General features: G+C 43.2%; 2 protein-coding genes across 4 annotated transcripts in view, besides 4 other annotated features; both read right to left on the reverse strand.

Moving 5' to 3' along the window:
• Positions 1–10,859, reverse strand: part of SNX4 (sorting nexin 4) — a 73,553-nt gene extending 62,694 nt beyond the window's left edge. For all 3 annotated transcript variants that reach the window (NR_073435.2, NM_003794.4, XM_017007414.3), the window contains exon 1: positions 10,689–10,859. Coding sequence is in view for 2 of the 3 variants with exons in the window: in NM_003794.4 (NP_003785.1) it covers positions 10,689–10,829 (141 nt within the window). In the remaining variant the exon portion in view is untranslated. The remainder of the gene's footprint in view (positions 1–10,688) is intronic.
• Positions 2,174–2,223: an enhancer, noted in NCBI's record as "active region_20430". NCBI's record gives its function as "activates an Ori minimal core promoter by ATAC-STARR-seq in GM12878 lymphoblastoid cells {active_cell/tissue: GM12878}" and the evidence as "EXISTENCE:reporter gene assay evidence [ECO:0000049][PMID:35858748]".
• Positions 10,130–10,631: an enhancer, noted in NCBI's record as "H3K27ac hESC enhancer chr3:125238317-125238818 (GRCh37/hg19 assembly coordinates)". NCBI's record gives its function as "activates a minimal SCP1, AML or CMV promoter by ChIP-STARR-seq in naive H9 embryonic stem cells {active_cell/tissue: H9 hESC(naive)}" and the evidence as "EXISTENCE:reporter gene assay evidence [ECO:0000049][PMID:30033119]".
• Positions 10,725–10,874: a silencer, noted in NCBI's record as "silent region_14667". NCBI's record gives its function as "represses an Ori minimal core promoter by ATAC-STARR-seq in GM12878 lymphoblastoid cells {active_cell/tissue: GM12878}" and the evidence as "EXISTENCE:reporter gene assay evidence [ECO:0000049][PMID:35858748]".
• Positions 11,035–11,154: an enhancer, noted in NCBI's record as "active region_20431". NCBI's record gives its function as "activates an Ori minimal core promoter by ATAC-STARR-seq in GM12878 lymphoblastoid cells {active_cell/tissue: GM12878}" and the evidence as "EXISTENCE:reporter gene assay evidence [ECO:0000049][PMID:35858748]".
• OSBPL11 (oxysterol binding protein like 11) overlaps positions 19,515–24,826 on the reverse strand; it is a 66,640-nt gene continuing 61,328 nt past the window's right edge. Inside the window, exons 12-13 of the mRNA NM_022776.5 lie at positions 22,518–22,671; positions 19,515–21,237 (exon numbers count right to left, since the gene is read on the reverse strand). Of these exons, the coding sequence (NP_073613.2) occupies positions 21,172–21,237; positions 22,518–22,671 (220 nt within the window). The 3' untranslated portion in view covers positions 19,515–21,171. The remainder of the gene's footprint in view (positions 21,238–22,517; positions 22,672–24,826) is intronic.

Consider the following 24,826-nt stretch of genomic DNA (forward strand, 5'->3'; position numbering starts at 1 on the left):
AAAAAGAGAGAAAGGACAGTATTAGAGTAAAAAGGCAACCCAAAGAACAGAAGAAAGTATTTTCTCTCACGGATCCAGACTATTTAGAGAACTCCCAAAACTCAACAACAAAATACAACCCAATTGGGCTGGGCATGGTGGCTCACGCCTGTAATCCTAGCACTTTGGGAGGCCAAGGCGGGTGGATCACCTGAGGTCAGGAGTTCAAGGCCAGCCTAGCCAACATGGTGAAACCCTGTCTCTACTAAAAATACAAAAAATTAGCTGGGTGTGGTGGTGAGTTGCCTATATTCCAGCTACTTGGGAGGCTGAGGCAGGAGAATCACTTGAGCCTGGGAGGCAGAGGTTGCAGTGAGCTAAGATCATGCCACTGCACTCCAGCCTAGGTGACAGAGCGAGAATCTGTCTCAAAAAAAAAAAAAAAAAAAAAAAAAGACCCAATTCAAAAATGGAAAAATGAGCAAAGGACTTGAACAGACATTTATTTTTCTGAAGAAGCACATGAAAAGATAATCAACATCACTCATCATTAGGTAAATGCAAATCAAAACTACAATGAAATACTGCCTCACACCTATTAGAATGGCTACTATGAAAAACAAACAATAGAAAATCAGTGTTGGTGAGGATGTGGAGAAATTGGAACCCTCGTGCCCTATTGGCGGGAATGTAAAATGGTGCAGCTGCTGTAGAAAACAGTACAGTGGTGCCTCAAAAAATTAAAAATACAATTACCATATAATCCAGCAATTCCATTTCTGCCTAATATATCCAAAAGAATTAAAAGCAGGGTCTCAAAGAGATATTTGCATATCCATGATGTCATGGTACCATCATTCACAATAGGTAAAACAAGGAAGCAATGCAAATGTCCATCAACAGATGAATGGATTTTTTTTTTTTTTTTGAGACGGAGTCTTGCAGTGTCGCCCAGGCTGGAGTGCAGTGGTGCGATCTCACTGCAAGCTCCGCCTTCCGGGTTCACGCCACCATTCTCCCGTCTCAGCCTCCCGAGAAGCTGGGACTACAGGCGCCCGCCACACGCCCGGCTATTTTTTTGTATTTTTAGTACAGACAGGGTTTCACAGTGTTAGCCAGCATGGTCTCGATCTCCTGACCTTGTGATCCACCCGCCTCAGCCTCCCAAAGTGCTGGGATTACAGGCGTGAGCCACCGCGCCCGGCTGAATGGATTTTTTGAACGTGATATATATACAAACAATGGAATACCATTCATCCTTAAAAAGGAAGGAAATTCTGTCATATGCTACAACATGGATATATATATCTTAAAGACATTATGATAAGTGAAATAAAACAGTCACATAAAGACAAATACTGTATGATTCCCTGTATATGAGGTACTCGGAATAGTCAAAATCATACAGACAGTAGAATGATGGCTGCCAGCAGCTGCGGCAGGGGGAAATAGGTAGCTGTGGTTTAACAGGTACAATTTCAGCTCTGCAAGATGAAAAGAGTTCTGGAGGCTGGTTGTACAATGTACGTGAATGTACTTATGACTGAACATTTTTAAACCATCAAGATGGTAAATTTTATATCATATATATTTTAACACAATTTGTTTGTTTTTTGAGACAGTTTCGCTCTTACCGCCTAGGCTGGAGTGCAATGGCACGATCTCGGCTGACCGCAACCTCAGCCTCCTGGGCTCAGGCGATTCTCCTCCCTTAGCCTCCCGAGTAGCTGGGATTACAAGCATGCATACCACCGGATAATTCTGTATTTTTAGTTGAGACGGAGTTTCTCCATGTTGGTCAGGCTGGTCTCGAACTCCCAACCTCAGGTGATCCACCCACCTTGGCCTCCCAAAGTGCTGGGATTATAGGCATGAGCCACCGTGCCCAGTTTAACACAATTTTTTAAACTGAAGAATAAACACATTATAAAAATATGAATGATCCTCAATATTGATATCTAATTTGGGGTTTAACCAAAATCGAATCTCTCTCTCAAAAGTCAAATATTATACATATGCCGAAAGGCAAGATTATCAGCAGTTAGCATAATTTTTTTTTTTTAACAATCAGGAGTCATCTTATATTAAACTTTAAATTCATCTAAACTTTTGGCAGTGGTTAATAGGCTCCACCCTTGAGGCAGCAGAGTTTTAAGAAGAGCAGACTCCTTTCTTTTCCCACTAGAATATCTCAGGTCTATACCAAAAGGTGAAAAAGAACAATAAATACACCACTGGCAGACCCTAGGCCATATGTTTCAGAAAGTGCATCACTGCAGAAAGGTTTCAAATACACCCAAACTAACTCCAAGTCTAAACAAGGAAGAGAAAGTGAGACCACAGGATAACTGCTATGCTATGGCTTTTTTTTTCTTCTTTGCTCACTGTCAAAATTGAGGTGGGTTTTAACTTAATTTAAAATATTGTACTGTATTATAATTGGAGTGTTTTATGAAGGAGAGATAAAAGTAGAAACTCAGTGCAGCAAAGGGTACAAGAAAAAGCTACACATATCAAATTAAACCTAGCCACTATAAGGTCTGAAAGAGGTCTGTGACAGTGCAAAAATATGAATCAGGAATGAAAACAGATGATACACTACACAGCTCTCCCAAAACGTACAGGAAAAATGAGGAAGAAGGTAAAAATGCTAAAAGAAGATAAAGAAAAAGAGCCAACCCAGTGGGTTGAAATCAGCCAACAAAAACAAAAATCTCAGTCCTCAAGGCATTTTTATAAAATATAAGTTTTTATATATTTATGTACTAAGAAAATAAGAGAGACAGCAGGAAATCATCAACCAAAAGAAAGCTCAAGAAATCACCTAAGCACAAGCCACCCAACATCAGGGTTGGTTATGAAGCCCTCATTGGTTGACACATACATATATACATGTATTAATAATACATTCTGGCCCACAGCCAAGCAGTTTGATTTACCATCTGCTCCAGTGACAAATTCGCTGAATTCTGAAAGCACATTCTGATAAAGCAAGTTATTAATATCTCCCCAGTCAAAAAGATAAGACATATGAATCATAAATTGACCCTGTCATACCATCCAGTTACAAAGAAGGAAAAAAGATAAAAGCATAAAATCAGCTATCATAAAAGCTAAAGAATACAAACAGGCACACAACAATAATACCAGTAGGGTTGGTAGATGATATAAAATTACTGAAACTGTCAGTAGTAAAGTACAGAACAGTGCCAAGAATAACACAACTGAACACCATAATTGTTAAAAGGACACATTCAACAGATTTAAAGATGGACTGGCTTGTTGAATGGCAGATGAGACCAGGGACCTTTTAAAGAGACACCTAATTTTTATTTTATTTTTAAATATTATGCGTAGAGAAGAGGTATCGCTATGTTGCCTAGGCTGGTCTCAAACTCCCGGGCTCAAGCAATCCTCTCACCTCAGTGCAGGGTCAACAGATACAACAACTTTTTTTTTTTTTTTTGAGACAGAGTGTCACCCAGGCTGGAGTGTAGTGACTCAATCCTGGCTCACTGCAAACTCTGCCTCCTGGGTTCAAGTGATTCTCATGTTTCAGCCACCCAAGTAGCTGGGATTACAGGTGTGTACCACCACATTCAACTAATTTTTGTATTTTTATTAACAGTAGAGATGGGGTTTCGCCATGATGGCCAGGCAGGGCAAGTAATTTAGCCTGTCTGTGCTTCAGTTTCCTCATGTGGAAAACAGAGATAATAGTACCTGCAATAAATGGAATGTTTGTGTCCTCCTAAAATGTGTATGTTAAAATCCTAACACTCAAGGTGATGGTATTAGGAGGTGGGGCCTTTGGAAAGATTAGGACATGAGGGTAGGGCCCTCATAAGTGGGGTTAGTGCCCTGATAAAAGAGACCCCAGAGAGTTCCTCTCCTCCTTCCACCATGTGAGGACACAGTGAAAAGACAGCCTACAATGAGCCAGGAAGCAGCCCTCACCAGTCACTGAATCTGCCAGTTCCTTAATCTTGGACTTCCCAGCCTCGAAGACTGTAAGCAATTCATTGCTATTGTTTATAAGCCACTCAGTCTTTGGTACCTTGTTATAGCAGCCCGAACAGACTAAGACAGTACCTAATTCACAAAGTCATCGGGAACATTTAATGGGTTAATGCATATCAAGAGTTTTTAAAGTTGTTTGGCATATGGCAAGAGCTCAAGTATTACTTTTCCGCCATTATTTTTAGATTTAAATTTTTTGATGATGAAAATTATACATGCTAAATGTACAAACACTGAAAAAAATTAAGTAAATATAAATCATCTGTATCCCACAACCCAGCACTAACCACTGTTACTATAATGGTATACTTCCTTATCACCTTTTTTCTAGGCGTGATGCTTCCGTGTTACTGAAACATTCAGAGAGTTAAGGATAAGAACCACCTATTGAAATCACTTCCCTTTGGGGCTCTGTCTACACAGATCAGAGGTAGCTGGTACTAGGTTAAAAATGTTGTGTTTACTAATAGTGATGCTTACTTCAAGCAGTAAATAACTTAGTTCAGGCTGCTATAACAAATGACCATAGACTGGGTGATTTGTAAACAACAGAAATTTATTGCTCACAGTCCCGGAGGCTGGGAAGTCAGAGATCAAGGAACTGGCAGATTCCGCTAGGGTCTGCTTCCTGGTTCACAGACAGCTGTGTTTCACTGTATCTTCATATGGCTGGAAAAAAGGAGACTTCTGGATTTTTTTTTTTTTTTAAAGGGCACTAATCCCACTCACGAAGCCTCCATCCTCATGATCTAATCACCTTCCAAAGGCCCTTCCACCAAACACCATCACAATGGGATTAGGTTTCAACATATGAATTTTGGGGAGACAGAAACATTCAATCCAAAGCAATAACTAAGAAAAATAGGGTTATAACATATGACCAGTTCTCTTGTGCTTTTTTCTATAAAAATACTTTTAAAATAACAGCAGAGCTATTCAGAAAACATTAATTTTTAAATACAACAATATGTTAAGTTTGAACAGTGTTCCAAACTGAGTAACACATTCATGGTCCATGAAATTAATTTGGTGGGTTGTGACCAACACTTTTTTTTTTTTTTTTTTTTGAGACCGAGTCTCGCTCTATTGCATAGGGTGGAGTGCAGTGGCATGATCACAGCTCACTGCAACCTCCACCTCCTAGGTTCAAGCGATTCTCCTGCCTTAGCCTCCCAAGTAGCTAGGATTACAGGCATGTGCCACCATGCCTGGCTAATTTTCATATTTCTAGTACAGCTGGGCTTTCACAATGTTGCCCAGGCTGGTCTCAAACTCCCGACCTCAGGTGATCCGCCTGCCTCAGCCTCCCAAAGTGCTGGGATTACAGGTGTGAGCCACTGTACCTGGCCTCCAAAACTTTTTTTGACACAAGGTCTTGCTCTGTCACCCAGACTGGAGTACAGTGACATGATCATGGCTCACTGCAGCCTCAACCTCCCTGGTTCTTGCTCCCACCTCAGCCTCCTGAGCAGCTGGGACCAAAGGCACAGGTCACCACACTAGGCTAATGTTTTTATTTTTTGTAGACTGGGTCTCCCTACATTCCCAATACTGGTCTCAAGGCATGGGCCTCAGCCTCCTAAAGTCCTGAGATTATAAGTGTGAGCCACTGCATCCAGCCCAATGCTTCTTTTTAATTTAAAAATATAGAAAAATATCAGAAAGTGTTGCATGCAGTAATGGCTAAGTATTGTTTCCTGAAACAACAATCACATATTAAAGTATGTGTACGCTGATTATGATGTAAAAGTGTATTTTGCTTTGAGAGGCCAAGGCAGGAGGACTGCTTGAGGCCAAGAGTTCGAGACCAGGCTGGCCAAAATGGCAAAACCCCATCTCTACTAAAAAAAAATACAAAAATTAGCCAGGCGTGGTGGCGTGTGCCTATAGTCCCAGCTACTCAGGAGGCTTGGGCAGGAGAATCGCTTGAACCCGGGAGATGAAGGCTGAAGTGAGCCGAGATTATGCCACAGCACTCCAATCTGGGCGACAGAGGGAGACTCTGTCTCAAAAAATATATATATATATATATTTTTGGGTCGGGCATGGTGACTCACGCCTGTAATCCCAGCAATTTGGGGGGCTGAGGTGGGAGGATCACTGGAGCCCAGATGTTTGAGACCAGCCTGGGCAACATAGGGAGATCTTGTCTCTACAAAAAAAATAGAAGAAATTAGTCAGGTATTGTGGTGTATGCCTGTAGTTCCAGCTACTCCAGAGGCTGAGGTGGGAGGACTGCTTGAGACCAGTAGGTCAAGGCTGCAGTGAGCCATGATCATGCCATTGCACTCCAGCCTGGGCAACAGTGCAAGACTTGGCCTCAAAAAAAAAAAAAAAAAAAGAAAATGTATTTTGTACTGTGAATCACCTTCAAAAAAATCTGAGAGCCACTGAGGTAGAAAATGGTTTTTAAAAGTTCTTGGGGCTGGGTGCTGTGGCTCACTCTTGTAATCCTGGTGCTTTGGGAGGTGAAATGGGAGGATCACTTGAGCCCAGGAGTTTGAGACCAACCTGGACAACAAAGTGAGACCTCTTCTCAATCAATAAAAAATTAGTGAGTATGATTTTATCATCTGCTGCTAAAGTGATGAATTCTGTAATTATGCCTATAATCTTTATCTTCCTTTTTAATGTTATCCTTACCAACAGAATGCCTCAAACCTTACCGACAATCTGGTCTACTCCATTTAGTTCTCTGCTGCCAATCAGTGAAGGTAGTCAATGTGCACGGGAATTTTTAACCACCAGCTGCTCAATCACTCTGCTCCATCAGCATTCCCAGGTCTAGAGCACTCTCCCTAAAAATCACTTATGAATTCCTCAGGTAATGGGTTTTCTCTGGCAAATACTGTAAATGGTTTTTCTCTGGCAAATACCTGTCTGTTAACTGCCAACTCAATGGAATCTAAAAAACTACTCTGTCCTCCACTCCCTTGCTATTTCCTCTCCTTCTGCTCGGGCTAATTACTACTTTCTTAGAGAATGAATTCCCTTCTCATATTTTCCATTTTCCAAATTATTTTAAATAGAACTGACTATAGCTTTAAAAAACTACAGAAAAAGAGCTTACATAGAGTTTAAAGAATCCTGATCAGTGGTGTTAAAACCAGAAGAGTCTTGTGACTCTTTGGCGGTGCAGTTTCCACAACCTCTTGGGGTAGGATAATTGGTATAAATTACTCTCCCTCTTAAAATCTGCAGTCAAAAATAAGGCTGGGCCGGGCACAGCGGCTCACGCCTGTAATCCCAGCACTTTGGGAGGCTGAGGTGGGTGGATCACTTGAGGTCAGGAGTCCGAGACCAGCCTGGCCAACATGGTGAAACCCCCTCTTTACTAAAAATACAAAAATTAGTCAGGTGTAGAGGCACATGCCTTTAACCACAGCTACTCGGGAGGCTGAGGCACAAGAATCACTTGAACGCAGGAGGCAGAGTTTGCAGTGAGCCAGGATCCTGCTACTGCACTCCAGCTGGGGCCAAAGAGCAAGATTCTGTCTCAAAAAAGAAAAAAAATGGTGGTTAAGCAAGCTGTTTTTTCATCTCTGAACACTATTTGCCTAGACATCTTTGTAGTAAAAAAATGGATAAATCAACACATCTTTCAAACCTTTTTTTCCTTTCCAAAATTACAACTTAGGCTGGTCTGAAGATAGTAAGTTATCTCAATTTCACAAATCAGTTACAGATCAAACTCTTTGTTCTACTGTTTCCCCCCTTCTCACTACTGCACTTGACTAGTCTAAAAAAATTACAACTTAGTGTTAACTACACTAAAAACTTTAAAATTCAGTATTGAAACAATGTACAAGACTATTTTAAACTTTTTTTTTAATGAAGCAAAATGGCTTAATGGAAGAAGCACTGATTTCAATGCCAGGTGAACCTAGATTCAAATCCCAGCCATGCTACTGACTAGCTTGTGACCATGGTCAAATTACTTCTCTATGAGCCTCTGGCTGGTTCCATTTACCCATCTATTGGAAGTAATTTTGGGAATTAAATGAAAAGTAGAGCCCCACTGTGCACAGCACACGCAAAACTAACTTACTTTTCTGGTGAGACCAAATTCCTATCAGTAACAGCTACAATGAGGCCATAAAAACATTACAGTAATTTTCAACTGAAGACAGACTGAGTGAGAGAGAGTATGGAGAGAAGTGAAGGGATGTGAAGACCTTCAAAGGACGGGTTTTTAGTTTGATTTTCTCTTTGAGGGGAGAGGAGGGGAAGGGGAAGGAATGCACTGAATGTATGTTTGTTTAAACACCTAGTAATTCTGAAATATTTGCCCAAATGGCTTGTGCCTCTTTATGAATTACTAAATTAGGGAGTTGTTTTAAGAAACCACATAGGCCGAGGGCAGTGGCTCATGTCTGTAATCCCAGCACTTTAGGAGGCTGAGGCAGGCGGATCGCCTGAGGTCAGGAGTTCGAGACCAGCCTGGCGAACATGATGAAACCCCAACTCTACTAAAAACACAAAAATTAGCTGGGCATGGTGGCACACACCTGTAATCCCAGCTACTCAGGAGGCTGAGGCATGAGAATCGCTTGAGCCTGGGAGGCAGAGGTCTGCAGTGACCCGAGATCACGCCACTGCACTCCAGCCTGGGTGACAGGTCAAGAGACTGCTCAAAAAAAAAGAATAAAAATGTCAGGAAGTAGTATGTAACTACAACTTATACTGCATGATAGCATCCCTGGGTTTTCAAATATTTAGAACTACATATACATAGTGTTCTTTCAATTAATAAAAGACATATATAATGCCTTTTAAATTAACATAAACAGATTTTATATTCTAGTTGCAATTTCATATTAATTAAATACCTAATGGCAGGGTGTGGTGGTGTGTACCTGTAACCCCAGCTACTCAGAAGGCTGAGGCAGGAGGACAGCTTGAACCCAAAAGTTCAAGGCAAGTCTGGGCAACACAGAGATACCTCATCTTTACAAAAAAAACCCCAAAACTTAGCCAGGTGTGGTGGCATGCATCTGTAGTCCCAGCTACTCAGGAGGCTGAGGCAGGAGGCTCGCTTGAGGCCAGGAGGTCAAGGTTGCAGTGAGCCATGATTGTGCCACTGCACTCCAGCCTGGGAGACAGAGTGAGAACCTGTCTCAAAGAAAAAAAAAGCACATCCAAAAAAGTCTTCATGCTACCTTATATACCCAGGTATGTTCCACAGCAGGCAAAACTTTCAAATCCTGAAGTCCCTGCTTAGCTGGTCTCTAAACTTAAAAGTCTTTCAGGCCGGGCACCATGGCTCACACCTATAATCCCAGCACTATTGTGAGGCCCAGGTGGGCATGAGCCCAGGAGTTGCAGACCAGCCTGGGTAACATGGTGAAAACCCATCTCTACAAAAAATACAAAAATTTGGCTGGGCATGATGGCTCACGCCTGTAATCCCAGCACCTTGGGAGGCCGAGGAGGGTGGATCACTAGAAGTCAGAAGTTCGAGACCAGCCTGACCAACATGGCAAAACTCCATCCTTACTAAAAACTAAAAAAAAAAAAAAATTTAGCTGGGAGTGGTGGCGCCCATCTGTAACCCCAGCTACTCAGGTAGCTGAGGGATGAGAATCGCCTGAACCTGGGAGGCAGAGGTTGCAGTGAGCCGAGATCGTGCCACTGCATTCCAGCCTGGGTGACAAAGACTATGTCTCAAAATAAATAAATAAATAAATTAATTAATTAATTTAGCCGTGCGTGGTGGTGTGTGCCTGTAGTCCTAGCTACTCAGGAGGCTGAGGCAGGAGGATTGTTTGAGCCTGGGGGGTCGAGGGTGAAGTGAGCTGTGTGAGCAATGCACACAAAAGGAGACTTTGGGCAGGGTGGTCTGATGTGGAGCACTGCAGTTAGTTTCTTAAAGGTTTCAATATAAGCAGGTCTACAAATCTTGAATTGTATATGCAAACACTTTGTAATGAAAGCACTTACAAATATAAGATGATACATTTTTCCCCTTTTCCTCAAGCAAATGAAAATCACTAATTACTAAAGGGTCTTCAAAAAGTACATGGGTTATCAATAAGTCTCCAATGGGAAACACAGCACTTCCCCCAAAACAAAGAAATTACAGCCAAATGAGGAGTCTAAAAAATGTTTTCTCATTTGTACCTTTTCTTGAAGCTGACATTTTCTTCAATTTCCTGATGGCAGCACCAGGCCAACCACCCTTATTGGCCCTGACCTGCACCTCACTCTAGTCCCCCATTCCCTTCCTTCTCAAGCACTGTTGCCCACTCCCCACTGTGTCCCTTTAAGCTACTCCCCAGCAAAACCCCTTAGCAACTGGCTGAAACATCAGCGTTCTTCTCACGGTCCAGATCTCCCAGCTACGCGACCACTGAAAACCCCCTCCTCCAGCCTCGCCCATCCGGGGCCCAGACCCCCACGCCTGCGGGGGCGCCCCCCCGGGTCCCTTTCCCTCCCCTTCGCAGTCTCGACACTTCCCTCAGTCACCCGCAGCGCCTGGCGCTCGCCCCACACCCAGCACCCTGTTTTTCCACTGAGCCTCCTCTCACTGCACCTGCGGACCCCGCCTTTCCACCTCGCTCCCCCTCACTGCTGGGCCTCCTCGGCCGAGCCCACTGGCCCGGCCCGGCCCAGCCCAGCCCAGCCCAGCCCAGCCCGGCCCGCTAGGCCACCACACAGGCCATGAGGGCTCTGCCGCCCCTTCTCCTCACCGTGTCGACCCCAGAGCTCTCTTCTCCGGCCCCCTCCGCTTCCTTGCCGACCGCAGCCCCCAGCCCAGCGTCTGGGGAGCCCAGCGGCTCCAAGGGCGCCGGCTGGAGCTGCCGCTCGGGGTCCGGAGGTGCCTGCTCCATGGCTGCAGTTCGGCGCGGCGAACCCAGTGCGCCTGCGCCGCCGCCGCGCCCGCGGCCAACCAGTCTCTCAGCTAGCGACGCCCGCCCCTCCGCTAGCCATCGCCTCGCCCCTCTTGTCAACCTAGAGGGCTCCCGGAGCTGCAGCTGGAGGCGGAACCGGGGGTGGGAGGACACGCAAGCCCGCGGAGGACCTGGTCAGCTGCTTAAGCCAGGAGACCCAGGAAGCAGGGGCAGCTGGTGAAGAGAGAGACAAAGAGAAAGGCAAGGGGAAAGTGAACACTTGAAGTAGGCACGGCGATCCTAAAGCCAACGAAACTCAAAAGAAATTGGAGGCGTAGTCTGACCTGCTCCTTCTGGGCCTCTGCCTTGCCAGTTATTATTGGGTCTGTTTTCTCCCGGAAAGATCAGAGCTCTATAAATTGTTAACTTTCAGCAGGTTGAGTAACACATTCAGCAAAAGGTAATACTTGCAAGTTTTTTTTTTTTCTTTTTGAGACGGAGTTTCCCTCTTGTTGCCCAGGCTGGCGTGCAGTGGCGCGATCTCAGGTCACCGCAACCTCCGTCTCCCAGGTTCAAGCGATCCTCCTGTCTCAGCCTCCGGAGTAGCTGGGATTACAGGCGCCCGCCACCACGCCCGGCTAATTTTTATTTATTTATTTATTTATTTATTTTGTATTTTTAGTAGAGACGGGGTTTCACCATTTTGGCCAGCCTGGTCTGCAACTCCTGACCTTGTGATCCGCTCACCTCGGCCTACCAAAGTGCTGGGATTACAGGCGTGAGCCACTGCGCCTGGCCTTTGCAAGGTTTTGAGGAAAGTGAAGCGTTCTGTTGAAGCAGGGCTTGAGTTCTGTTGTAAGTGTTTCATGAAGCCCTGGAGACCTCTGATAATTTTCTACAAACATCCCTTTTTAAAATTTTCCAAACCTGCTTCCTTGACAAGCTTTCACTATGGCAACCGGATGGGAAATGCTCACTGGTGGTAACAGATTGTGGTACCTTGAAGTACTTTCTATACAAAGTCGGGTCTCAATTTTTCAAGTACAGAAACATTTTTCTGCCCACTTAGTTATTTCAAGCTGTAACACACAATTTTCTCTTCCTGGAATGCTTTATCTGTCCTGGGAGCAAATTTTCATTCATTCCTAAAACCTCAGCTCATTTATAATCTTCAAGTGCTAAGTTGTTCATAAATCTGTTATGGGCTGGGCACGGTGGCTCACGCCTGTAATCCCAACACTGGGAGGCCAAGGCCGGCGGATCGCCTGAGGTCAGGAGTTTGAGACCAGCCTGGCCAACATGGTGAAACCCCGTCTTTACTAAAAAAATTTGCTGGACGTGGTGGCGGGCGCCTGTAACCCCAGCTACTCAGGAGGCTGAGACAGGAGAATCACTTGAACCCGGGAGGCGGAGGTTGATCTCAGTGAGCCGAGCTCGTGGCACCGCACTGCAGCCTGGGCAACAGAGCAAAACTCCGTCTCATAAAAAAATAGATTTTAAAATCAGGGCAGAATGGATCTGATGGTTATTTCCCCCTATTTTATATACACATAATACATGTTAATTGTGGGAAAATTAGAAAAGTTGAGCATTAAAAAATTAAAAGCCACAAGTTAAGCGTGAGAAAAAAAGAAAAATAATAAAATAAAAAATGGTTCTTGGCCGGGAGTCTCAGGCCTGTAATCCCAGCACTTTGGGAGAGGCCCAGGTGGGCAGATCACTGGAGGCCAAGAGTTCGAGACCAGCCTGGACAATACGGTGAACCCCGTCTCTACTAAAATACAAAAAATTAGCCGAGCATGGTGTTGTGTGCCTGTGGTCCCAGCTGCTTGGGAGGCTGAGGCAGGAAGAATCGCCTGAACCTGGGAGGTGGGAGGTTGCAGTGAATTGAGCAACAGAGTGAGACTCTTGTCTCAAAAAAAAGAGAAAAACAAGGCCGGGCACGGTGGCGCAAGCCTGTAATCCCAGCACTTTGGGAGGCCGAGGTGGGCAGATCATTTGAGGTCAGGAGTTTGAGACCAGCCTGGCCAACATGGTGAAACCCCGTCTCTACTAAAAATACAAAAATCAGCCGGGCATAGTGGCATGCACCTGTAATCCTAGCTACTGCAGAGGCTAGGGCAGGAGAATCGCTTGAACCCAGGAGGCCGAGGTTGCAGTAAGCCGAGATCATGCCACTGCACTCCAGCCTGGGTGACAGAGCAAGACTCCGTCTCAAAAATAAATAAATAAATAAATAAGGGTTCTTTTGGCCGGGCTCGGTGGCTCATGCCTGTGATCGCAGCACTTTTGAAGGCCAAGATAGGCAGATTGCTCGAAATCAAGAGTTCCTAGCAGACCACAGACTGGTACCAGCCCACAGCATGGGGGTTGGGGACCCCTGCACTAGATAATATGCCTTATTCTTGGGGCTGTCTATAGGCTAACAAATTATTTTTGATAAAGAGATAGCAACTAGTGGTTATGTAAAAAGCCTGAGGTGGGAGGGTAGCTGGCATTTTGAATTTTTTTAATGGGTCCATGTTTGGGACACCCTGCCCAATGGCCAGAATCATGATAGCTGCAGTTTTTTTATGTGCTTGGCACTTCACATATTAATACTTTTTCATGCAGTGCCCCTCCCTGCAAGACAGGCATTATACAAGCTGGGCATGGTGACATGTGCCTGTATCCCAACTACTCAGTAGGCTGAGGTGGGAAGATCGCTTGAGTCCAGGAGTTTGAGGTTGCAGTGATCCATGATAGGACCACTGCACTCCAGCCTAGGGAACAGAATGAGACTGACTCTTAAAAAAAAAAAAAAATCCCAGCACTTTGGGAAGCCGAAGTGATTGCTTGAGCCCAGGAGTTCGAGACCAGGCTGGGCAACATAGTCAGACCCTGTCTCTACAAGAGATACGAAAAGTAGCCAGATGGGGTGGCATGCCCCTGTAGTCCCAGCTACTTGGGAGGCTAAAGTGGGAGGATCCCTTGAGCCCAGGAGGTCAAAGCTGCAGTGAGCAGAGACTGTGCCATTGCACTCCAGCTGGGTGACAGAGAGAGACTCTGTCTCAAAACAAACAACAAACAAACAAACAAAAAAGACATTATTTTCCCCATTTCACCAATGAAGCAGGCTCAGTAATATTTGACAAAGTCACACAGCCATTAAATAAGGGAAAGATATTCAAACCCAGATTTGTAGGACACCCAGAACCCAAGCTCTTGGGCCATGCTGCTTCTCTTCATGGGGGAGAGGAAGAAGAGAGATTCTTCTAGAGAAGATGCAAATAATTTGCGGAAATTGAGAATTGATTCCTTATGTGAACACACACAAAGAAAAACAGGTTTCCTTGGCATATGAAGGCAAAGTCACACCTGTGTGCTGAGGTCTGGGAAAGCCCAAGGCTAACTCCATGGAGATTATGGAAATAGATATTCCCCCTTCTTCTGACTCTGGAAGGGAAGGAATTCCCCCTCACAGCCCTCACTGGGGGAGAGCCTGCGGTGACCTGCTCTGGAGTGAATGGGAAAGCCTCAGGAGCAGGAGTGACTAGCCAGGCAGAAGGTACTTCAGTCCCTTGCATGTCAACAGCATGTTTTAGATTTCAATTTGTCATTAATTTAACATTTTTTGAGCTCCCATGTTAGCCTGGGAACACCAAGAAATATCTATTCTCTGGTCCCCATCGTCCAGGTTCTGTTCTCCCTCTTCCCAGGATTTTCCTCCTGGTGCCTGGCCAGCCTCCCAGGGACTGTGACAGTCACTTTTGTCTCCTTCCTCTGAAACTATCCCCTTCTTCTCAGCAGCAATCAAACCCAAACCCCACCCCATTTCTCCTTTCAGTGTCAGTGTGGATGACATTTGCCCTTGGTCACAGCACAGGATCTTTCTTCCCACCCTCCTATCAGTACCACCATATTCTTTTGGAGCAAATTCCTCATTGTGTGAGGACTTGTGTGGGGAGCAATTTTTAATATGTACCTCTATTGTAGCCTCTCATCATAGGAGTTGAGGAGCCCAGATCCTTCTTGTACCACCTCTGGGAAGATTATTTCAACTCACCAATTCAGACCCTTAAACTCCCAAGAGTTTGAATCTTGGGTCGGAGGGAATGCTGGAGGTTGAGCCTGTGGCAGTGCTAGGGCCAGGTTTTTGCCAAGTCGAATTTCCTGTGTGTTCTGTGCCAAGTGTCTGGAGCTACCTTGATTCTGCAACTTTCTACAGAATCACCAGCCTTAATTCTGTGAATTCCTGTCCTATTTCTCTATTTGCTTTATATGACTAGAGTTCATCTTTGTTCTTTTTTCTTTTTTCTTAAGAGACAGGGTCTCACTCTGCCACCCAGGCTCGAGTGCAGTGCCATGAACATAGCTCACTGCAGCCTCAACCTCCTGGGTTCAAGCTATCCTTCCACTTCAACCTCCCATGTAGCTGGGATTATAGGCCCGTGCCACCATGTGCAGCTATTTTTTTTGTAGAAATGGGGTTCTACTATGTTTTCAAGACTAGTCTTGAACTCCTGGGCTCAAGGGATCCTCCCACGTGGACTTCCCGAAGTCCTGGGATTACAGGCATGAGGCACAGCACCTGGCCCTGGTCTCTGTTCTATGCAACCTAGAGCTGTAACGGCTGCAGTAAAGCACTCATCTACTCAACTAAACATGCAGTAAATATTTATGAAACATCTACTCTGTCCCTGGCAGTCTCAGTGTCAGCCAAGGTGATTTTCCAGACTGATTCATGGTTCTATGCCCTTGGAGAAGACTGGAATATATACCCAGAATCAGAAAAACCATATCCTCAACCCCTATTGCTTGAGAAACTCCCCAGAGTGCTACAGCAAGCCAGCTACCAGAATCTTCAACAGCTAAAAACATGGAAGCCTCTACAAGGTAGAAATTTTTCTCCCTAGACGGGTAACTTAAATACACTTTGATAAAGACCTTCTGAGGCAAATAGTCACTTACAGCTAAGAAATTTAAACCAGACAGGTTAGGAGGAAGCACAGGTTGGCCAAAGTACTTCCAGACAAGTGAGTCTTGTGGCACCTCTCAACTAAAATTGTGCATATGAGTAATAACAGCTTACCTGTAAGGCTATTTTGGAAACTCAGAAGAGCCTGGCTACTTGTTTCTCACCTCCCACCAGCAACCTCCCATTCAACTCTGGGCCCCAGACACATGAAGCACAACTCTCGGGGGACCATTTCCACATTGTGGAGATCCCAGGGGAGCCCATAACTATTTCACGTATCTGTGTGAAGAGAGTCCACCAAACAGACTTTGTGTGAGCAACAAGGCTGTTTATTTCACCTGGGTGCAGGCGGGCTGAGTCCGAAAGAGTCAGCAAAAGGTGGTGGGATTATCATTGGTTCTTATAGGTTTTGGGATAGGTGGTGGAGTTAAGAGCAATGTTTTGGCGGCAGGGGGTGGGTCTCACAAAGTGCATTCTCAAGGGTGGAGAGAATTACAAAGAAACTTCTTAAGGTTGGGGAGATTATAAAGAAACTTAAGGGTGGGGGAGATTACAAAGTAAATTGATCAGTTAGGGTGGGGCAGAAAAAAATCACAATGGTGGAATGTCATCAGTTAAGGCTATTTTCACTTCTGTGGATCTTCAGTTGCTTCAGGCCATCTGGATATATACGTGCAGGTCACTGGGGATATGATGGCTTAGCTTGGGCTCAGAGGTCTGACAATAACCGCCTCTTGCGTACAACTGCCCACCAGGAGGCACATACCCAGTGTGAGAGAGGGATATGGTCTTGCCTTAATCTCTGTTAAAACTGCACATGTCTGAGGCAGGCGGATCACCGGAGGTCAGGAGTTCAAGACCAGCCTGGCTAACAGGGTGAAAACCCATCTCTACTAAAAATACAAAAAAATTAGCCGGATGTGGTGGCAGGCACCTGTAATCCCAGCTACTTGGGAGGCTGAGGCAGGAGAATCACTTGAACCTGGGAGGCAGAGGTTGCAGTGAGCCGAGATCATGCCACTGCACTCCAGCCTGGGCAACAAGAGTGAGACTCCGTCTCAAAACAAAAAACAAAACAAAACACATGTTGGTCAGGCTGATCTCGAACTCCTGACCTCAAAAAGTGATCCACCTGCCTCAGCCTTCCAAAGTGCTGAGATTACAGGCATGGGCCACCACACCCGGCAATCATTTTTTAAATTAAGGAAATATTAACAAGCAAAAATAAAAACATAAAAGTATAGTCTTTTCCCATAATAAGTCCTTCTAAGAATCTGTAGAAGTTATTAATCAAGTAGTAGACATTCGTAGTGGGAGTTAAGCATAAGGACTAGAATTGTGTGTGGGGTGAGAAATTCAGTACTACTTATTGTTTTTGGTGACAACCAGGTATTGGAGATAATGATGACCATAACGTATTGAGTTCAGTGAATCAATACGGATATGCCATAACTTACCGAATATACAATAAAAAATTACCTTTAGAGGCTTAAAAACTGTCTAACTGGAACATGACCGGGGGCTTAAATACAAATATTTTGCAGAAGGTATAGTGTCATCACCATGAGAAAAAAAATTAAAAGCCCAAATATATGGCTGGAACACTCTCTTTTTGTTACTTTCAGTCTTGGACTTTTTTTTTTTTTTTTTTTTTTTTTTTTTTTGAGATGGAGTCTCACTCTGTCGCCCAGGCTGGAGACCAGTAGCACAATCTTAGCTCACTGTAACCTCTGCCTCCTGGGTTCAAGTGATTCTCTTGCCTCAGCCTCTCGAGTAGCTGGGACTAACAGGCGTACGCCACCATGCCTGGCTAATTTTTGTATTTTTAGTAGAGATGGGGTTTTGCCATGTTGCTCTGGCTGGTCTCGAACTCCCGACCTCAGGTGATCCACCCACCTCGGCCTCCCAAAGTTTTGGAATTATAGGCATGAGCCACTATGGCCGGCCACCCTGGACTTCTGGACTTTTTTTTTTTTGAGATGGAGTCTTGCCCTGTTGCCCAGGCTGGAGTGCAGTGGTGCAATCTCGACTCACTGCAACCTCTGCCTCCCGCGTTCAAGTGATTCTCCTGCTTCACCTCTTGAGTAGCTGGGATTATAGGTATGAGCCACCATGCCTGGCTAATTTTTTGTATCTTTAGTAGAGACGGGGTTTCACCATGTTGGCCAGGCTGGTCTCAAACTCCTGACCTCCTGATCTGCACGCCTCAGCCTCCCAAAGTGCTGGGATTACAGGCATCAGCCAGGATGCCTAGCAGTCTTGGACTTCTTAACACAATCACTAACCACCAGAAGGAAGTGTTCATTTAAAATTCTGGCCCAAATGAAAGAGATACAAATATGGCACAACTGCCACAAAGACTTGTTTCCCTAGCCAAATAGTACCAAGGCGTAGACAAAAAAAATCAAAATAGAAAAAGCCTCTAGCTCTCGTGAGGTGTGTAAGCTGCAGCTTCTGGAAGCAGATGTTGCTCCTTCCTTACTCTCTGGGCCCTGCAGTGGGAAGGCAATTAGATAGGGAGAAGGTAAAACAGTCAGCCCGAAGCATAACAATTCATTCTTGTCAAAGAGTTCAACCCAATAATGTGGGGGAGATTTCATTACTCATAAATGTATTACTTTCCATAATAACTTTAAAACTAATATTTCAGTAATTCTTAAAATGGCTCAACAATCCAAAGAAACAAATGGGCACTTGACATGGTTTGGCTCTGTATCCCCACCCAAATATCATCTTGAATTGTACTTCCACTCCACAATTCCCACGTGTTGTGGGAGGTAATTTGAATCATGGGGGCAGTTTTCCCCATACTGTTCTCGTGGTAGTGAATAAGTCCTACGAGATCTGACGGTTTTATCAGGGGTTTCCACTTTTGCATCTTCCTCATTTTCTCTTGCTGCCACCATGTAAGAAGTGCCTTTCGCCTCCTACCATGATTCTGAGGCCTCCCCAGCCGTGTGGAACTTTGTAAGTCCAATTAAACCTCTTTTTCTTCCCAGTCTTGGGCATGTCTTTATCAGCAGTGTGAAAGCAGACACAGCACTCAAACAATTCAAATGAAACAAAAATCTCTGGTTTCATTTTATTTTTAAAAATTTTTATTTATTTCTTTTTTAAAGGCTAATCAAGTTAAGCAGTGGGAGAGAGAAGGAACAAAGAAATCTGTAACTGGGGCTGGGCGAGGTACCTCACGCCTGTAATCCCAGTACTTTGGGAGGCTGAGGTGGGAGGACTGCTTGAGCTCAGGAATTCAAGACCAGTCTGGGCAACATAGTGAGATCCAGTCTATACAAACAGTACAACAATCAGCTGGTTGTGGTGTTGTGTGCCTGTGGTCTCAGCTACTTGGGAGGGTGAAGTGGAATGATTGGTTTAGCCTGGGAGGTCAAGACTGCAGTGAGCTATGCACTGTACTCCATCCTGGGTGACAGAGTCAGACTCTGCCTCACAATAAACAAAATAAGGAATCTATAATTGGTTGTGATCAGTTAGTTGTAAATGCCACTGCATGCAGATCAGCCTGGTTTCATTTTATATTCTTCTTCTATCTCCAGAATATTTAAAAGTTAAACATTTCAATTTTTAGAAACTCTTATTAAATTTACCACCTAGCTGAAGATTCCTGAAGGACTTAAACAGAAAATCCATGCCCCTCTCAAATGAACAGGGCAATAACTCTACTGAATATAAACTTTCTCTCTCCATTCGTAAAAGAGACAGAAGCATTATTGTTTGTTCTCTAGTTTTATTATTTGTCAATTTTCCCAACACAGGAACTATAACTCATTTTGAGGATTTTTTTCAGTGCATTTCACAGCAAAAATGAACAAGGGAATCATTAAAATTGTTGTACACAAACCAACTCTTTTTCTTATAATTTACAATTTGTTGAAAAAATTATTGTTTTGCTGTTTTCATCCTACTAACCTCTTTAACAGAACACAATTTATCAGAGCACAAAGCTTAAACTTCTTATGATGATGCAACAGACACAGCCACCTACAATGGCTGATAAACAACAGGTATGTTACACACACTGATTGGAAGACCATATCAGAAAAAACAGAGTAAGGCACCACTCTTGGGAAATTAAGGTAGCTTGCAGTAACAAGTGTTGAGCACCATAATAAGTAGGTGCTCAATAAATACATGAATGAATGATGAAAGCCATAATTAGCTCTATTCTTTTAATTGCCAGCAATTCTTCAACCTCAACAAAATACTTATTTAAAAAAAGATTTGTACCTGAATACAACTTCCTGATCTTTTTTTCCTGATACCTTTTCATTTCGTTGTTTCTTTAGCATTTAAATTTCCTCAAAAAAAAAAAAAATAAATAAAACCATACCTTACATGCGCGTTCAGTTACACATATAAGTTTTGAATTACTGACAAATATGAATAGAATCATTTATTTTAATTTTTAACAGAGGTAAAATAAAGCATACTTATCCAAAGGGATAACACATAATACTGGATATTAACCTAAAGGTGAAAAGAAAGAAGGAAAAAAGTAACAGTTTTATTTTTTAATATTTGCTATTTTCTTTAATGCCTTAGTTCTGGAGAAAGGCTAAAATCTCATCATATTGACATTAACACATTTTTAAAAAGTGTCTCTCAAGTGTAATATTTAATAAAACTAGGTACTGAAAAATGTTCTGAAATTTTTCAAGTCAATGTTGTTTTCAAGTATATTAAAATGCTCAGAAGAAAAAATTCTCCATGGTTATAATTCTGATCAATCTATAAATGTACTTTTTAAAAGAGAGTTCCAACAGAGGTGGATAATAGGTAAGTTCCTCAGACACAGGCATACAGTCTTTTTGAAGAAATAGAATGCCTTGTTACCACAACCTGGTTGATTTTTTTTTTTAAACACTGATTTCAGGCACAATGGCTGAATCCACTTCTGGGTCATCTTTCTCCTCCTCTTGGTTGGTTTACAAGAGTAGTGAATACTTCAGTTATGGACAGAAAGAAAGACACAAACTCTGAAACGGAGACTTCACTTTTCACTACAAAGAAATCAAAGTCACTGAGTTCTCATTGTTGTGTGTATCTGCTGCCCCTGTGCAAAAATAGGGGATTCAAACTTAACTTTAGGAGCAAGAACTGGATAAAAGATTCATCTACTGATTCAGGTAACAAGTTTTAAGATGGTATTGCTCACATCACATGAACAGGTTGGTAAAAGGTCCACTGTGTTTCTTTACCACTTTGGTCTTGCTGCAGTATTATGGTGCCCTAGTAGGTACATTCAGGTTTAGCTAGTTTCAGTCTGCGCAATCAGGAAGCAGGTCACTCAGTGCAATGACTCCATTCTGGGAGGATTTAGGGTAAACAGAGAAGAACCTCATTTGGTCGAGTTTTAGATAGTATGTGTCACTCTGCTGGTTGTGTTGTTGGAATTATTTTCCAAAGTGGTTTATGATAAACCCAGCCATCTCCCTGAAACAAATAAAAAGATAAAGAATCATCCCTCTAATATTATCAAAATCAGTAACCAAAACTAGAAGCAACACCTTCACTGAAATGGAATTCTATTTTCACATTCAAAAACAAGTTTTTGTGAAGGAATAAAGTCTTTGTGATTAAGACATCAAACGATGCCTGTGGTTTAGCTAGGATTTAGGTGAGAAGACATGGTATGGGAGGATCTAGTTTGTGACCCATGAACATTTAATTTTGCAAGAACCATTTGTAGCAATTTTGCCAATTTCGCCAAGATGCTACAGATTGAGCCTCACTCACAGAGTTATGGGCAGCAGGTGGAGTACAGAGAAATGATCGGGAAGGTACTAACTGTTCTCCCTGTCTCCACTGGCACCCCAGAACTCATTTTTTTTCTTTCCTTTTTTTTTTCCCCCAAGACGGAGTCTTGCTCTGTCAGCCAGGCTGGAGTGCAGTGGCACAATCTTGGCTCACTGCAACCTCCGCCTCCCTGGTTTAAGCAATTCTCCTGTCTCAGCCTCCCAAGTAGCTGGGATTACAGGCACGTGCCATACCCGGCTAATTTTTGTATTTTTAGTAGAGATGGGGGTTTCACCATGTTGGCCAGGCTGGTCTGAAACTCCTGACCTCATGATCCGCCCGCCTCGGCCTCCCAAAGTGCTGGGATTACAGACGTGAGCCACCGCGCCAGGCCCCCCAGCTCATTTTTCTTTTTTTTTTTTTTGGAGACAGAGTTTCACTCTTGTTGCCCAGGCTGGAGTGCAATGGCGCAATCTTGGCTCACTGCAACCTCCGCCTCCTGGGTTCAAGCAATTCTCCTGTCTCAGCCTCCCGAGTAGCTGGGATTACAGGCATGTACCACCACACCTGGCTAATGTTGTATTTTTAGTAGAGACTGGGTTTCTCCATGTTGGTCAGGCTGGTCTCGAACTCCTGACCTCAGGTGATCCGCCTGCCTCGGCCTCGCAAAGTACTGGGATTACAGGCATGAGCCACCGAGCCCGGCCACCCCCTAGCTCATTTTTAATGATATATAGATGTTCTCACTTAGAAACTCTTCTTTCTTAGAATCTGTTCTTGGTATATCTGCCTTTTTTTTGAGACAGAGTCTTGCTATAGGTTACCCAGGCTGGTCTCAAAAACAGTTGGTATTTATATACAGCCATACTACTTTTAAAAATAAAGATGTATAAGTGATAGCAATTCAACAAAGCCTAGTAAGCTAAAGTTCTCAGCCAAGTAGATACATTTTTATCTTGAACACATGTACAGCATACCTCTTTAATAAAATATTTGGTTTTCCAAGGTGTGCCTGTTTCAGTACGATGCCTTTCTTCAGTCCTCTGACGTTCTTCCAGGGTATGCTTATGCTCTGTGGCCTTATCAATTTCAGATTCTCTCAGCGAGTCTGTCACATTTTTCCACAATCGCCTGAAATCCAAAAACCACACATTTTACAAGCATTCTTTAAAAGAGATAATTAAATAGAATCAATACCCTCAAAATTACAATAATTTTATAAAATAACGTTTCCTAAATCACATCTACAATGTCATGCTTATGAATTCCAAGAATAACGATACTGTGCTGCTGATGGTTATGTCCAGGATGCTGCTCCTTCTGCTTCTTTTTAAATTAAAAATAATTTGTATTTTTCCAGGTTATAAAAGCAGGATTTTTTGTTTTTAGAAAACTTAGAAATTAACGAGTAAAAAGAGAAGTAAATTTTCAAAGTTGAAATGTAAGCAAGACTAATTGTGCTTCTGGACATGATGAAATAATGGGGAACACATTTATTTTCCTGCCTTCATCAACCAGGAAACCAGGCAACATATAATACAATAGTGGTTTTCAGATACTGAGCAAAAGGCAGTGCAGGGCAGTGATCCTTGAGAAAGGAAACAAATGAGGGGAGTCCTATGAGTGCTCTAACTCGCTGTCCAGAGTGTTTCTAGGCCACGCACAGGGAGAGGGAAGCTTAACAAATCTCAAGCAAAAAAAAAAAAAAACAAAAAAAAACTGCCACAACACTTCTTTAGGGAAAGAACTGTTTGTTGAACAAATGGTGCTGGGACAACTGGATATACATGTGAAAAAAATGTAGTAAGTTAAACATAAAACTACCATAAACCCAGCAATTCCACTCCTGGGTATTTACCCAAGAAAAATGAAAATAAATGTCCATACAAAGACTTGTAGGAGAATGTTCACAGCAGTATTATGGATAGGCAAAATGTGATATATCCATACAGTGCAATACTATTCAGCAATAAAAAGCAATGAACCACTGATACATGCAATTAATACTTCATGGATGAACCTCAAAAACGTTATACTAAGGAAATAAGCCAGGCATAAGAGATCACACATTGTATGATTTATATGAAATATCCAGAAAAGGCAAATTTATAGAGACAGAAAGTTAGTGGTTCTCTGGGCTGGGGGTAATGGGGATTAACTGTAAATGAACAAGAGAGATCTTACGGTAGGATGAAAATATTCTAAAACTTATTTATGGTAATGACTGTACTACTCGAGAAAGTTACTAAACATCTGTTTTTTCTTTCTTTCTTCCTTTCTTTCCTCCCCCCTTCCTTCTCTTCCTCCCCTTCCCTCCCTCCCTTCTCTCTCCCTCCCTCCCTCTTTCTCTTCTGTTCTCGTCTCTTCTCTTTTTTCTTTTTTTGAGACAGGGTCTCACTGTCACCATCTCAGCTCACTGCAACCTCTGCCTCCCGGACTCAAGCAATTCTCCTGCCTCACTTTCTTGAGTAGCTGGGACTACAGGCGTGCACCACCATGCCCGGCTAATTTTTGTATTTTGAGTACAGACAGGGTTTCATCATGTTGGCCAGGCTGGTCTCGAACTCCTGACCTCAAATGACCCGCCCACCTCGGCCTCCCAAAGTGCTGGATAGTATGCCAAAGGTCTTATAATTTAAAGAATTAAGGCTACATATGTATCTTAATGGCTCCAAAAGGTTTCCTAACACATTTCTGAAAATCAAGTATCAAATATCCTTTTAAAAAAATATGATACATGAGATGGCTCAAAAATAAAAATGAATTTATAAGGAATTCTCCATAAATAACCAAAGACATTAAAACAAAAACAGAAACATCAAGACATAACAATCCTAAATATAAATGCCTGCCCTAATAACAGAACTTCTAATAAAATGAAGTAACAACTTGCAGAACTACAAAGTGAAATATTCAATTGTAATTGGTAATTTTAATAACCAATCTCAATAACTAAACTCAACTGATAGAATAAATACACAGAAAATCTGTAAGACTACAGAAGACTAGAAAAATACTGTCAACTCATTTGACCTGACGTTTATAGAACACACTCACCTCAGCCTCCTGAGTAGCTGGCATTACAGGCACATGCCATCACATCCAACTAATTTTTATATTTTTTGTGGAGACAGAGTTTTGCCATGTTACCCAGGCTGGTCTCAAACTCTTGGGCTTAATACACATTCGTGTCAAGGGCACATGAAACATTTACCAAGGCCAGGTGTGGTGGCTCATGAATAATTCTAGCACTTTGGGAGGCCGACGTGAGTGGATCACTTGAGGT

Source organism: Homo sapiens, chromosome 3 (assembly GCF_000001405.40).
Source record: "Homo sapiens chromosome 3, GRCh38.p14 Primary Assembly".
In the NCBI taxonomy this organism is placed as follows: Eukaryota; Metazoa; Chordata; class Mammalia; order Primates; family Hominidae; genus Homo; species Homo sapiens.